This window comes from Homo sapiens, chromosome 9, assembly GCF_000001405.40.
Source record: "Homo sapiens chromosome 9, GRCh38.p14 Primary Assembly".
In the NCBI taxonomy this organism is placed as follows: Eukaryota; Metazoa; Chordata; class Mammalia; order Primates; family Hominidae; genus Homo; species Homo sapiens.
Window position 1 is genome coordinate 118,954,104 of NC_000009.12, and position 14,634 is coordinate 118,968,737.

The 14,634-nt window shown below is 37.4% G+C and overlaps 1 long non-coding RNA gene across 1 annotated transcript in view, besides 1 other annotated feature; it reads left to right on the top strand.

Annotated features, from left to right (window-relative positions):
• Positions 1 to 14,634, top strand: part of LOC101928849 (uncharacterized) — a 128,376-nt gene that overhangs the window by 102,050 nt on the left and 11,692 nt on the right. The gene's annotated exons all lie outside the window — the stretch shown is intronic.
• Positions 7,788 to 8,082: a silencer, noted in NCBI's record as "tiled region #1311; HepG2 Repressive non-DNase unmatched - State 24:Quies". NCBI's record gives its function as "represses a minimal TATA promoter and a strong SV40 promoter by Sharpr-MPRA in HepG2 cells {active_cell/tissue: HepG2}" and the evidence as "EXISTENCE:reporter gene assay evidence [ECO:0000049][PMID:27701403]".

A 14,634-nucleotide genomic window follows, 5' to 3' on the forward strand; every position in this document is an offset into this window, starting at 1 on the left:
AGAGCACATACAGAAATATTGAAGAATAATAGCAGCCAGAACTTTTAATGGAGTTACTATTTCGCTGGCACTGTGCTAAGCCCTTTATACAATATTACCTCATGGCATGGTCTCCTGGTATCCTCTCAACAAGAAGGAACTATAATTCTTCCCATCACTGAAAAGAGAATTGAGAATCAAAGGTATCCATTTACTTGAGCTAGGATCTCAGAGCTAGTTTGTGATAGACCCACAATTCCAATGTTTGTGTGTGGTTTATGTATGCATATGTGTGTGTGTGTTTATGATGGAGTCCATATTCATGATCACTACCCTGTCTTGCCTTTGATAATCAGAAAGGCAGATAAATATTTTGGTGAGTGTTAAGCAAAAACAGAAAATGCATATAGCAGATGCTTTTTATAAAACTTGGTTAATTCACTTTTTCTTGATTGGAGTGAGGATGTTAAAGCTGCAGTGGAGAATAGTGAGGGAAACATGGAAGAGAACTTTCCACCAAACAGAGCTGGATGGCATGGACACTTCATCTTTACTGCATAGCCAGCCCTCATTTTCACTAAAAAAGGCAGCAGCCAAGGCTGTGGAACTCACTCTCATGACAAAATTGGAAGTACAGTTAATCAGGACTTAATTGAACAGTTCAATCTCCCAGCAAGAAATGGTGGGGGGAAGTGATGGAGGATGGGGATGGGAAGAACAAAAACTTATAAAGCCCCTCTGTTTAAGATAGTGAAATGTGTCTTCTAATCCATAATGCAGCACCATAATGTTCTTGTATGAATTGAAAATGCCAGGCAATCAAAGGCCATATGTTATCAGCTTAAAACCACAGAGTGTCCATGTATTTTTAATCAAGGCTGCATCTCTGACATATGTTTATGTTTTCTTGGCATAAAAGATGCTCTATCAGATTAGCTCTGTACTGAGCCCCAGGCTGTTACCTTTGACCATGCCAGGAGAAGGGAAGTTGGCAGATCCCCCATAATGCATTACTGTAAAGCTAATGCAAATTGTACTTGAAGAATAGCTCACAGTGAGCAATCCGTTAAGCCTGAGGATATGGGCTTATGCATCACGATGTCTTCACTCCCTAGAAGATCTCTCTGCTTCTCCCCTCATGCCTTAAAATTCATCCTTCATACAGTGCCCATAGTGATCTTTTAAAAATGTAAATTCAATCTCTTTATTCTCCCACTCAAAACTCTCTGGTAGAGGATGAACACATTTAAAATAAGAACCAGACTCCTTGATATGGTCTACACAGCTGTGCATGATTTATTCTACCATCTCTATTTCCTATCATACCATATTTCCCTGTACTCACAATGTGTCAGTCACACTGCCTTTCTTTTTGTTCCTAAACAGTTTCCATTACTAACCACTTATTATTGATTTTTTCATGCATTCACTAAAAAAAAAGTTAAGCAACACGTGTGTCTAGGAACTCTCCTAGGTGTTGAAGATAGATCGGTGAACATAACTGATCAAGCTTCCTATCTTCTTGGAACTTAAATCCCAGAAAGGGGAGAGAGAGAAACAATAAAGAAAATGGAAATATAAAGAGTATAGCATGTTAGAAAGTGACAATTCCTTTATGAAACAGAAAGGAAAAAGTAGAGTAGTATAAATAGGGTCAAAAATAAGTGGTAGACAGTACTGGGTTTTGAAAGTCAATAGAGGAGTCAGGGATAACGTCTCACTTTAAGGCATTTACTCTTACTGTTCCCTCTCCAGGAACACCCATCACCTAGGTATTTTCATGAGTTTCTCAAAACTCAGGTCTCAACTCAGATGTCAACTCTTTGAGGGACCTTCTCTGATCTCCCAATGTGAAGTAATCCCTTCTACTCACTCTCTATCTTACCACCCTGTGTGAGGGCACTTAAAATGATCTGAGCCTATTTTTTTTTCATTCATTCCTTTACTTTGTTTTTGTCTTCAATACTCATGAACTGTAAGCTTTGTGAGCACAATGTCTTTATCACTTCACTATTAAGTCTTCTATGTCTTGATTAGATCCTAGCACATAATACATACTCAAAAAATAAACGTTTGAGTAAAATAATAAAGGAATGGCTGAAGATACCAGCATATTTATTTGACTATGGGGAAAAGAGAGGGATTGTATTAGTCCATTTTCATGCTGCTGATAAAGACATACCCGAGATTGGGCAATTTACAAAAAAAAAAGAGGTTTAATGGGCATACAGTTCCACTTGGCTAGGGAGGCCTCAGAATCATGGTGGAAGGTGAAAGGCATGTCTCACAAGGTGACAGACAAGAGAAGAGAGCTTGTGCAGGGAAGGCCATCAGATCTCGTAAGACTCATTCACTATCACGAGAACAGCACAGAAAAGACCTGCCCCCATAATCTAATCACCTCCTACTGGTTCCTCACATGACACATGGAAATTGTGAGAGTTACAATTCAAGATGAGATTTGCTTGGGGACACAGCCAAACCATATCTGGGATATAACATTTGGCATTAAGAAATCATTGACAGATATCACTTTCTCCTTGGATAGTCTTTGGGACCAATGAACAGATCTGCCAAGATAAGAATTCCAACTCATACTGGAAATATAGAATATAGTGCTTTCTGCAAAATAAGGAATTCTGGTGTCTTGCTTACCACATTGGAAAAGGCCCTGCGATTAATGACCTTGCCTGCGTCTGAAGACAAACTGACATGTCTATAGAAATAAAGGATGTAAGAACTAAGGGGGTCTTTGAAAGCATATCTTCCAAAAATCTAATCTCACTGATGAAGAAAGCAAGAACTCTAATGGTTGTTTAAATAACATCCTCTTTGTTCTTGAATGGAATTCTTGATTTTCATCACTTTCTAGGTTTTTTAAATCTGTTTAATTCAATTAAACTCAATATATCTTGAGAGCTGTATTTTTTAACCACGTGCTAGATGTTGAAAATATATAACCCTGACACACACATGTTAGGTCTTCCCCTGGAACCCTAGCTTCATAACTACAAGTGTTATTTCATGGCTGCATGTTTCACAGAAGATACTGTTTTATCTTGCAACACAATTGTATTCAGAAACTGGACCCTCCTGAAATCCTTTAACTGATTCACTTGTACCAGAGATTTGGTGAACAGCACATATTTAACTAAAAAAATTGTATGAAAAATGAACAGGGATGAGATTACATCACACATCTTTAAGCAGACAACTTAAAAATATCCCCATGTAAAGATACAACTTCTCTGAAGTTCTTTTCTACTCGTTATCACTGGGGCTTTCTTTTTCCTTTTTGAATGCAAGAAAATATCATTCTAATTTACTTAGAGCTCATCTCTCCAATATTTTTCTCTAGGCATTTTATATTATTCTTTCCTGTACTAGATGCCATAATTCAACTCTGAATGATCTCTTGTTTCCAATAGTGCTCATCCAAAGTCATCACAGTTATTCAGCTAAATAAAAGGTCCTCTAATGAGCGGAACTTATCAACCTTAGAAAATGATGTACACATTGTATCTCTATGCTTGGACAACAAATCCCAATGAGTCAAATCATCATTAACCTAAGGTTCAAGCATTTGAATCATCATTTATAAGATGTCCACAAAGATTCTGACCTCATGGAGTTGTGATGATCACATGGAATAAATGTGAAAAGAACCTGGCATAGAACCCAAAAGAGAGGAGCCTGGTAGAAACTTAGTGCGTACTGGTTTATTTCTCCTTAATTAACTACACATGATGATTCATTTGTTCCATAACTTCTTTCTGTGTTAGTGTTTAGGGGACATCTCAGTCTCTTAAAGTTTATCAGCCTCTCTATCATTAGCTCGAAAGTAGTCCAGAAAAAAACTGCAAATGAAAAAAGCACGTTAGTGTCATTTTCTGCATGATTGAGACACAACTGTCTTGACGAAAATCCAGAAAATGTGTATGTTTGTGTGTTTCCAGAGAATTTACAAGCACTGAGACTTCTCTCTCAAAAGCTGTGTTGTGTTTGAAAGAACATTCTTTTGTTCATAGCCTTATTTGATGCTGTGTAGGCTAACACTCCAACCGTTAGTGGTGGACAAATACATTATCTGTTTTTACTTTGATTCAAAACTTTTTCCCTATCTAGTTTGGGAGTCCTTAAGCACCATAAAAATGGGAACAATAGACATTGGGGACTACCAGAGGAGAGAGGGTTGAAAAACTACCTGTTGGGTACAATGCTCACTGCCTAGATAACAGTATCATTCATACCCCAAACCTCAGCATCACACAATATACCCATGGAATGAACCTGTACGTGTACCTCCTGAACCAAAAAAAAAAAAAAAAATAGTTGAAATGAAAAATAATCATAATAAAAAGAAAGTCCTTAAGCAGAGGAGCTTCTCTATTTGTAATCTAATGCATTTTCTTAGCTGATCTTGGGAACAATTATAATCTTTGCTATAGCTGTCTGGGCATGACAGAACAGAACCATTAACCGAAGATGCTTGATACCATCTAAATATAAGAGATTCTGAATCCTTTAAGCCCCTGATTCAAGCAAATTCTAGGGAGGAGGGCTCTATTGGGCTTTTGTCAATGGAACCAATGACAAAAGCACTCATGAAAGTGAAAATATATATTCACCTACAAGAGAGATGGAGCAGCACATATTAAAAGAAACTCCAGACTTCAGGCCTTTGGCCTTAATTTGGAATTATTGAATTGGTTTTCATTCCTTAATATCCCACTATTGTACAAGTCATATGTACTTTCAAAAGAGCTGTAGAAATTACAGAGGTGAGTAACAACTAAATATTTATGTCATAAATATCATATCATTTAATCTATACAGCAATTTCACAAGATTGATATAATGATCGTTATTTTATAAAGGGCAAAAATCAAGGCTCAAAAAGATGAGGAAACTTGCCTAAGATTAGCAAGTTAGTGCTAAAACTATGTTTCAAATGCAGATCTATCTGGGGAGAAGGGTTAAAACACACTCATAAATAATCTTAATAGGTACCTTATATACATTTTCTTTTTCAATCTGCATAAAAGCTCTGTTTTGTCTCCATTTCATAGATGAGTACAATGAGGATCAGGGAAAGTTGATACTTTTTCAGAGAAAACATGCAAATATTCTATGAGAAGGATACCTGAAGTACTCTTGGTTTCTGGGGGTCATCAAAGACATGGAGTTAGGTTTAGCACAATGCACTAAATCTTCCATAAGGTCTGAAAAGGGGGAAAGTTGAAGAAGAAAAAGGGTAATGACAAAAAAAAAAAAAAAAATAGCTGCGTTAGCATGGACACAAATTCTGCTTATATTTTAGATGGCAAATCTACATTTTCTGTTGAGTTATGTAAGAGAAGGCATTGTGTTTGTGTTCAAAGGGCAAGATTGGGGAAAATCTCAGGACACTGCCTGCATTCTAAGTGGCCCGACTGATGGAGGGAATGGGCCCTGTTCCAAATTGATTAGTTCTGCTACCTTCTCATTACCGTTCTGCCTGAAGTTTGGCACACAAGCAAGGTCATTCCATGCATGGGTCTGCGTGACTTAACTGATTTTGCTACAAATTTCCTCCCCTTCCACACTGCCACCCCCACCACAGCATGCCACCTGCACTCGAGAAAATTAAAAATCAGCCTATACATTTTACATGAGTTCCCAAGACCAGTGAGAAATTAATATTATGTTGTCTTTTGATAAAGATACAGCTGTTTTTAAAGATGTTAATCCAATTCAGTAATAGGAAATCTTGTTTAAATTCCTCTATGAAGCCTATACAGCAAGATGGAAAAAAGAAATGCATATAGACTCAGAAGAATATATTTGAGCAAGTTTTCATCTTGCAGTTCACCTTACAAAGAAATTTCAGGGTTACATATTAGGTTACTGTCCTCCCCAAACTCTTAGGTGCCTCATTAATTCTCTATGTCTATGTTTCTTTTAGGTTGTTCCCTTAGCCTAGAATTATGTCTTCTCATATTCTTATGTTCAAATACTTCCAGTTGTTCAGGGTTGACCTCTAATGTCTCATTTTCCATGAAGATACCTCATTTTCTGAAAGTAGGATGTGATTGCTGTCCTGTCAGATCTTCTGTAATTCCTAGAAAAGTTCTGAATCCCTCTAATTCTCAGTTTCCCCACCAATAATTAAAGCTATATTTCAGTGTTTATTGAAAAAATAGAGATAACATATAAAAAACCTAACACAGTACTTGATGGATAATGTTCAACAAATGTCATTTGTTTGGTTATTATTCCTACTGACAAGGAAATATAATGTCCAAAGTTCTTCGCGTCGAATTCAAAATTTTTCATAGTCAAGTTCCAGCCTTAGTTTCTAGTCTTAAACTCTGCCACTTTCTCGGGAGTAACTCTGTCCCCAATCCTCCAAAACTGTGTGTTCTATTAAACTATATCTTTCACTATTGTATAAACATTATGCACTTTCATTACTGAGAACCTACACAGTTGTCTTAACCTTCCTCTCTTTTTCTTTGCATAATGTATGTCTAAGTTCTCATGGTTCTCAAAACATATAGGCAATATAACAAAGTCAGAATTTAAATTAGTTTCCTAGATCCATAAACAGTTTATCCAGGATTCTAAAAGATGTCAAATAACTTTTTTTTTTTTTGAGGCGGTGTTTTACTCTTCTTGCCCAGGCTGGAGTGCAGTGGCCCGGTCTTGGCTCACTGCAACCTCCGCCTCCCGGGTTCAAGCGATTCTTCTTTTTTTTTTTTTTTTTCTTTGAGACGGAGTCTCGCTCTGTCACCCAGGCTGGAGTGCAGTGCTGCGATCTCAGCTCACTGCAAGCTCCGCCTCCTGGGTTCACACCATTCTCCTGCCTCAGTCTCCCAAGTAGCTGTGACTACAGGCACCCACCACCACACCTGGCTGATTTTTTGTATTTTTAGTAGAGACGGGGTTTCACCGTGTTAGTCAGGTTGGTCTCGATCTCCTGACCTCGTGATCTGCCCGCCTCGGCCTCCCAAAGTGCTGGGATTACAGGCATGAGCCACTGCGCCCGGCTGCGATTCTCCTGCTTCAGCTTCCCCAGTAGCTGGGATTACAGGCATGTGCCACCACGCCCAGCTAATTTTTGTGTTTTTAGTAGAGACAGGGTTTCTCCATGTTGGTCAGGCTGGTCTCCAACTATGCCAAATAATTTTTAAGAGGTGATTTTTTTTGGTTACGAGCTTAAGTTTTAATTTAAGATGAACTTTAGTTTAAACATTAGCTAAATGGTTGCACAATTGTAAACAAGATCTTACGGGTCCCTTAGCTTAAGCAGGGCTATTTGTAAAATGATAACAATATATACCTCTTAAGATTATTATTATAGCTGATGATATATATTCATGATATTACCTATATATTATGTATATCTAACAGATATGTATAATTTGATTCTCCATAATAAATTTAGGAGATATATATATATATATATATAAATGTATATATGCATACATAGTATGTATATATAGGATATATTGTATATATAATATATAAGATGTTGTATATATAGTATATAATATATCTATGCCTATATATCTATGTCTATGTTTATGTAGCACATAAATATATATATATATATATATATATATATATAGTGTAGGAAGGTCTGTCTTAAATCTGACACAGGCAGAAATAGATCAAGGAGCCAGTCAGTTTGAAATCACATGTTACATTTATTACTTTTAAAGTTGTCAAACAGTGCAGTTTAGTTTAGTGTGAGGCTACATGGACTGGCTAAAGCCCATTGCTATACTCCTCAGGCCTTGCAATAGCATCAAAAGGACAAGTGAAGTCCTCAGTCAAGTGATCCATAATCAATGTCCTACAGAATCACTGGATGGAGAGGGAAGGAAGAGACTGAATTCCTAGCATTCACTGAGTTGTAATAAACTCTCTCTACCAAATTGGGAAACACAGACCAATGTCTGTCACCCAGCAGTTGATGACTCACTTATCTGCTATGAGAGAAGCTTAGAATGAGGGTTGCTATGGGAAGCCAGGAGTGTTACTGGAGTAGAAATTCATCCACACGGAAAATAGAGAAGTCCAGGGATAAAGGCTTTATTTTAAAACAGCACAGTGTCTGATGCATAGAAAGCAACTGATTGAGTGGTACCTATTATTATGAGGCAATAGTTGCTATTGATAAGTTTGGCTGATCAACATTGAAATATTAATGATACTAAATATATCTATATGATATATACATGTTTTTGTTCATAAAGGCAGAAATAAACCCTTCAATAAAAATCACCTAATGAAGGCTTTTGTTTAGAAATGCAGTTTCCTCATCTCTGTGAAAGTCCTGACATCATTATATTTTGCTGACCTAGCTTCACCAAATTTTAATTCAACAAAAAGACCAGTTGAACAGATGCATTTATAGGTTCTGGGCCCTGTAACACTCAATCTGTTTAACTGAAATGTTTCTCTTGTTCCATATCTGTGCTTTCTGCTGGAACTGGATTTGTGTCTTTCTGTCTCAGTGGAGCATAAACGTAAGGAATGTCAGGAAGGAAGCCAGATCTGGAAGGCAAAAGAGGTGAAGCGGTGGCTGGGAGATTGCAGAGGCTGAAGTGTTGGAAAGATACAGAGAAAGATGATTCAGATTATTCAAATGAAAATGAGTACACAATACCCCCTTGTGAACTATCATGGTGATTTCCACTTACATGCAATACGAATTCAGCAGACCATTTTGATGGCCCAGTGAGGTTGTTGGGGTATTATTTACGTGGGCATGTATTTTCTCTGTGCATGTACACATTTTGATCAAGGGAGAAATATTAGGGAGAGAAAAAAAAATACCTCAATTACCAAAAAAAAAGGTATTAGGCTGGGCACAATGGCTCATTCCTGTAGTTCCAGCACTTTTGGAGGCCAAGATGGGAGGATTGCTGGAAGTCAGCAGTTTGAGACTAGCCTGGGAAACATAGCAAGACCCCATCTCTGCAAAAATTAACTAGGCATGGTGGCATGCTCCTATATTCCCAGTCACTCAGGAGGCTGAGGCAAGAGGATCCCTTGAGCCCAGTAGGTTGAGGCTGTAATTAGCTATGATTGTGCCACTGCTCTCCAGCCTAGGCAACAGAGCAAAATCTGTCTCTTAAAAAAAGAAAAGAAAAAAATGGAAATTTGATGCCTTGAGTTAGCTGTTATTCCAAAGACTTGGGATATATTGATGCCTGAGAAAGGACCTTGCTTTCACAGATCTTACAGTCACATAGCAAAATTACATATGAAAGCATGTAATTAAACATAATGAGGTTAGTTAAATATAAGGCTATAAAGATAGTGGACACTAAAGCTGGTCACATGAGCTAAATCTGGGGCAGGTTTGGTGATACAGGACGAGCAAAGTGAATACCATAGATGTGGTATTTCAGTAGTCTCGAAAATCTCTCTACCTCAGATTGGCCTTCTGAACTCCAGACATCAATGTAAATATATTCATATTTATAATTCAACTTATATATCTTGCTATCAACTAAGACTGGTAACTGATGATTATCATTAGTACTGTAAAACAAGTAATGTAATATTAAACAAAGATCCTTCTTCCCTGTCTGTCAAAATTAGGTGTGGCCATGTGACCGGCTATGGTAAATGAAATGTGTCACTTTCAGGTGCAAATAATAATAGATAGTGTTTGAGTCAGTTTTTGCCAGCTTAGTGGTTATGAACAATTATGTTTTAATGGAGCTTCCATTAGTCGAAGTACTACTGTGGTTACAGAGAGCAGAGCCCCACTCACCCACACTGAATATGAAAATGAACATAACAAAAGACTTCATTGGTAAAAGCCTCTGAGATATCTGTGGCCTACCTGACTGATACCACTCCAATTCTAGCATCTGAGTATTGACTGAATTAGACAGACAAGAAACCTGTTCACATAGAGAGAGGGAGAATGCTGAATAAATCCTAGTTAGATTTTTCCATATGGACATTTTAAGAGTTCCTCAAACTCAACTTGTTCAAAACCGTATTTATTGCACATCATATTTTCCACCTTCCTCCTCAACCTGATGACCCTTTCAATAAATAGTTGCTCAAGTAAAAACCAACAAATATGATGTATTAGTCCATTCTCTCCCTGCTATAAGGACATAGCCAAGACTGCATAATTTATATAGGAAAGAGGTTAAATTGATTCACAGTTTCACAGGGCGGGGGAAGCCTCCGGAAATTTACACTTATGGCAGAAGGGGGAGCAAATATGTCCTTCTTCACATGGCAGCAGGAAGGAGAAGAATGAGAGCTGAATAAAGGGGGACACCCCTTATAAAACCATCAGATCTTCTGAGAACTCACTCGCTATCATGAGAACAGCATGAACAGCATGAGGGTAACCACCCCGTGATTAAATTACCTCCCACCGGGTCCCTCCCATGACAGGCGGGGATTATGGGAACCTCAATTCAGGATGAGATTTGAGTGGGGACACGATCAACCCATATCACATAATCATCTTGAATTCTAAACTCTTCCTTGCCACATTCAGTCTTGTCAGTCTACTTTGTAAATATCATTAAAATCTGCACTAGCACTATTTTTTATCTCCACCATCACTATTGAAGACCAGGGCACTATCCATCTCACCTTCTTTCACACATTTCTAATTGATTTTCCTTCCTCCAGGCTTTCTGTCCTTGTAACCTCTCTCCAGCCATGGTGAATTGCTACCAACATTGCAAATCTCAACATGTCACTTACTTTTCTCTGCTTAAAAACTCAGGGTCTTTTCATTATCATTAACATAGTTTGCAAAGCTCTCTAAAAAAGATGTGTGTACACTCGCGGTCTCTCTGTCTCTCTCTTCTTGTGTTCTCTATCTCTCCCTGTTCTCTTTCTCCCAGGTCTTCACAAATGTGGTTCTCTCTAGCAAAAATGATATTTCCTGTGTTTTCTGACTGATGAATGCCTACTCATGACAGATTCTTCTTTGGATACACTTCATCAGCCAAGTTTTCTGGCTTCTAGATTAAGAATTGGTTTATTTGTATATGCTCCCATCCCACACTGTAGAATGTTACCTAATGTCCTGTTTGCAGGCTCTGAAGCCAGATTCCCTGAGTTTAGAACTTCACTTTACCATTTACTAGTTATGTGACATCTTTCAAGTTAACCCATATCTCTGTGCCTCACTTGCCCCACTTGTGAAACAGAAATAATATTAGCATCTAGCCCTTGGATTACATACTAGGTATTTTAGAATTAAATGGGCAATTTAACAAGATAAAAGCATTGGCTGACATTGAATGCATGTTACCATTATTCTTCTTAACCAGCTTTGTTGTGAAGCTGAAATAGAGGGAAAAAGACTGTGAAAAAAAAACACTCAAAACTAAGAGATTGGCTTTTATCTTATAATAAATGGAGAGCTATGGAAGATTTCAAGGAAAGAACAGACAGGATCAGAATTAAATTTCAGAAAAAAAAAATACAAGAAATACAGAGTGAGAGGCAAGTGGATGAAGAACTCTTTAAAATATGCTCAGTGTACCCAGGTAATTTAATCTTAAGCAATCATATTTAATCATCATTCCCCAAAACTAAGAGCCCATTTAATTCTACAAACATTTAAGGAGCATTCAATAAGTAGATGCTACGGCGGGGGCTGAGAATTCAAAAGAAGCAGTAGAGTATGTCATGGAATAAATACAGCCTGTTGGTTAACAGCATTGAATTTACAACCATACAGACCCAAGTTAACCGTCAAGCCCTATGATTTCCCATCTAAACAAAATTCTTAAATGGACTAAACCTCAATTTTTTCAAGGGTAAAACAAGAATAGATGAGATAATGTTTAGGCATCACCTTAAAAATTCTTAGGATATAGTATATGTTCAATCAATGCTCGTTATCATTGTTACTACTATCATTGTTGATATTATTTTATAACAGTGCTAAGTGACACCTTGAGCCAACGCCAAGCTGTTCGCTATCTAAATATAGAAAGCAAATATGTAGTCACATAAAGTATACTCTATTTGAGGTGCCATCCTATTAAAAGTAGTTAATAGTTTTTAAATTTATGTCCCGTGTCAGTATTGTTCTAAGTACTATACATGTACAATGGTATTTAATTCTTACAACAACCCTATGAGTCAGGTGATATGATGCTAAATGGTAGAAATAGAAAAATGCAGGAACAGAAGTTAAGTAATGTGCCCAAGAGCACACAGCTAGTGACTGATAAGGTTGTCAGGTGAGCCGAGGTAGCCTCATACAGCTGCCATGCTCCAAACCACTAGTTTATCTTGCTTCCCTGATAAATAAGAATGTGATAATTTTAAAATCATGGAATGTTTTGAATCACTTGTACCATCTGTTGCTGGGCTCTGACAGATATCCACTCACTTTGTTTCTTAAAGCTTGAACTTAAACCATTCCAGGCAGATGGCTATAACCAACTTTATCCAGACCTAGAATGCTTTCCAAAAATCTCTTTCATATTATAATGACCAGTCATCATTTTCAGAAAATCCTCCTATATACTAAATATTTATGTTAGAATTTGGGCCAGAATAAATGGATACCACCACCCCTACCAGGAGGGTAAAGGTGAATTCTAGCAGTGTGCACAAGCAAAGTGATCCCCCCAAGATTGCTGATTCTTGGTACAGTTTGTACTGATTCATAAATGGAAGTGGTGAAATAATTTGAATGGTGATATTAATTTCTCCTTCCATCTATGCATGAGAGTTTCCCTTGTGGATCTGCAAAGTCAATAAACAACAACAACATTAGTATTACTACTGAAATCAATGCTAAGTGTTAATGTTAGTACAGCAATTGATACAACTAGTATGTTATAAATATCTTCATAAAAACTCTACAAGGTAGATGTAATTAATCATACTATCTTAAAGATGGGGCCACAGAGTCAGGAGATGATTTAATAGTATTTTAAAGATCACATAATTACCAATGTCACAGTTACAGTCATGGCCAAAAAAACGTTAGCCAGGTAATAGCCATAGTTATAGATCTGTCTCAACATCCTCATTTTAGACTATGCTTTGTGACAGGATCCACAATTGAGCACTTTTATTTGCCAAATGTCAGTGCTCCCTAATTCCAAGGTTTCAGGTGGGAGTAAGGAGAATAAATCTAGCTAGTGGGCCAACCCCAAACAATCTCATCTGGACAGAGAAAGAACTAATGCATTCCAACAGAATGAACAATATGTAAAAAAAAGAAAAAGAAAAATCCCTCATCAGTTACTCCAAAGGTGCTGGGTCATCTTCCCTCAGCCTATCAAAGAATAAGTTCCACCCAACCTTTGTGGCAGTTCAGCCTGACCAGAGTATTCCATAGTGTCAGACTGCCCCAGAGGTAAGGCAGATTCTCCCATTTTGTGAAGCTAACTCAGTATAGCAGTGTTCCTTATCAGTTACTAAGGTTGTATACGACTGATTCACTCTCCATTTCACTTGAACAATCAAACACAGCTGTGCAATATTTAACCTAACACTTACATTGTTCTAAACGTATTTCTTTATATTTATAAGCATGAATTTAATGAAGCATCTAGTGATCTTCTAAATTCATTATTCTTGCCTGGTACATTGAGCCAAAAAAAAAAAAAGGAAGAAAGGAAAAAAAAAAAAGCATATTCCAGAATATCCTTCAGCTGCATGGAGTGTTGTGGTTATTCATGCTGGTCACTAAATATTTTGGGTTCCCCCTTCCGTGAGCTATGTCTTAGTATTGTGCTTCCTCACTGATATGAAGTTGGACATGGTCATGGGATGTGTTAATAAAATGTGAACAGAAGCATTCTGTATTTTCTTTTTGCAGAAGCTTTTATAAGACAGCACATCCTCTCTTATGTTCTCTTCGCGTTTCTGCAGTGACAGTGGAAGCCTGTGTCCAGGTGGTAACTCTAACTACCTGGGCCAAGAGATGACAATGAGCAGAGAATTTCTGCTTACCCAAGCTGGACTTGTATTAAAGCATTGAGATTTAAGAGCTTTTGCTGTTATCATCATCATCATCATCATCATCATCATCATCATCATCATCGTCATCATTCTAATGTGATTTGGTATGTGATGTAGATGTTTTTGGCAACATTTGGCCATATATTACTAGAAAAGAATGAGTTCTGAAAATAATTGACTAAAAGCAGAAGGGACTAGATTTAAGAAGTTCAGGAATTTGTAGGACTGAGAGAGGTAACTTTTTCAAACCCAGTCTATGAAAAGGTATCATTGAGAATGTTATTGAATTTAACAAAAGCCAAAGAAAAAAAAAACCGTTAGACTTGCAGCAAGAATCAAATGAAAGAAATGGCCATCAAAACCACTGTTAAGTTTCTCAGTCAATTAAGGTGTTTCAGAGAAAAGGTATAATTAAGAGCTTGATATCCAATACATGCATTCAATTGCACAAAATGCTGCCGGGGAAAGACAGACAAAAATCTCGGCTTGCCTATGGAAGCCTTGCAGGTTAAAGTTGCTGTAATTTAGGTTACAAGGGGTGGAGCGAAAGGAAGCAAGCAAACAAAGACACAGCAAATCTAAGAAACAAATCTAGGAAAGAACAGTGAGGGTGGTATTGGCACACAGAAATGACTCGATCCAAAGAGATATGAAGCCTACTAACATGTTGAGTGGCGCTGCAAATAAATC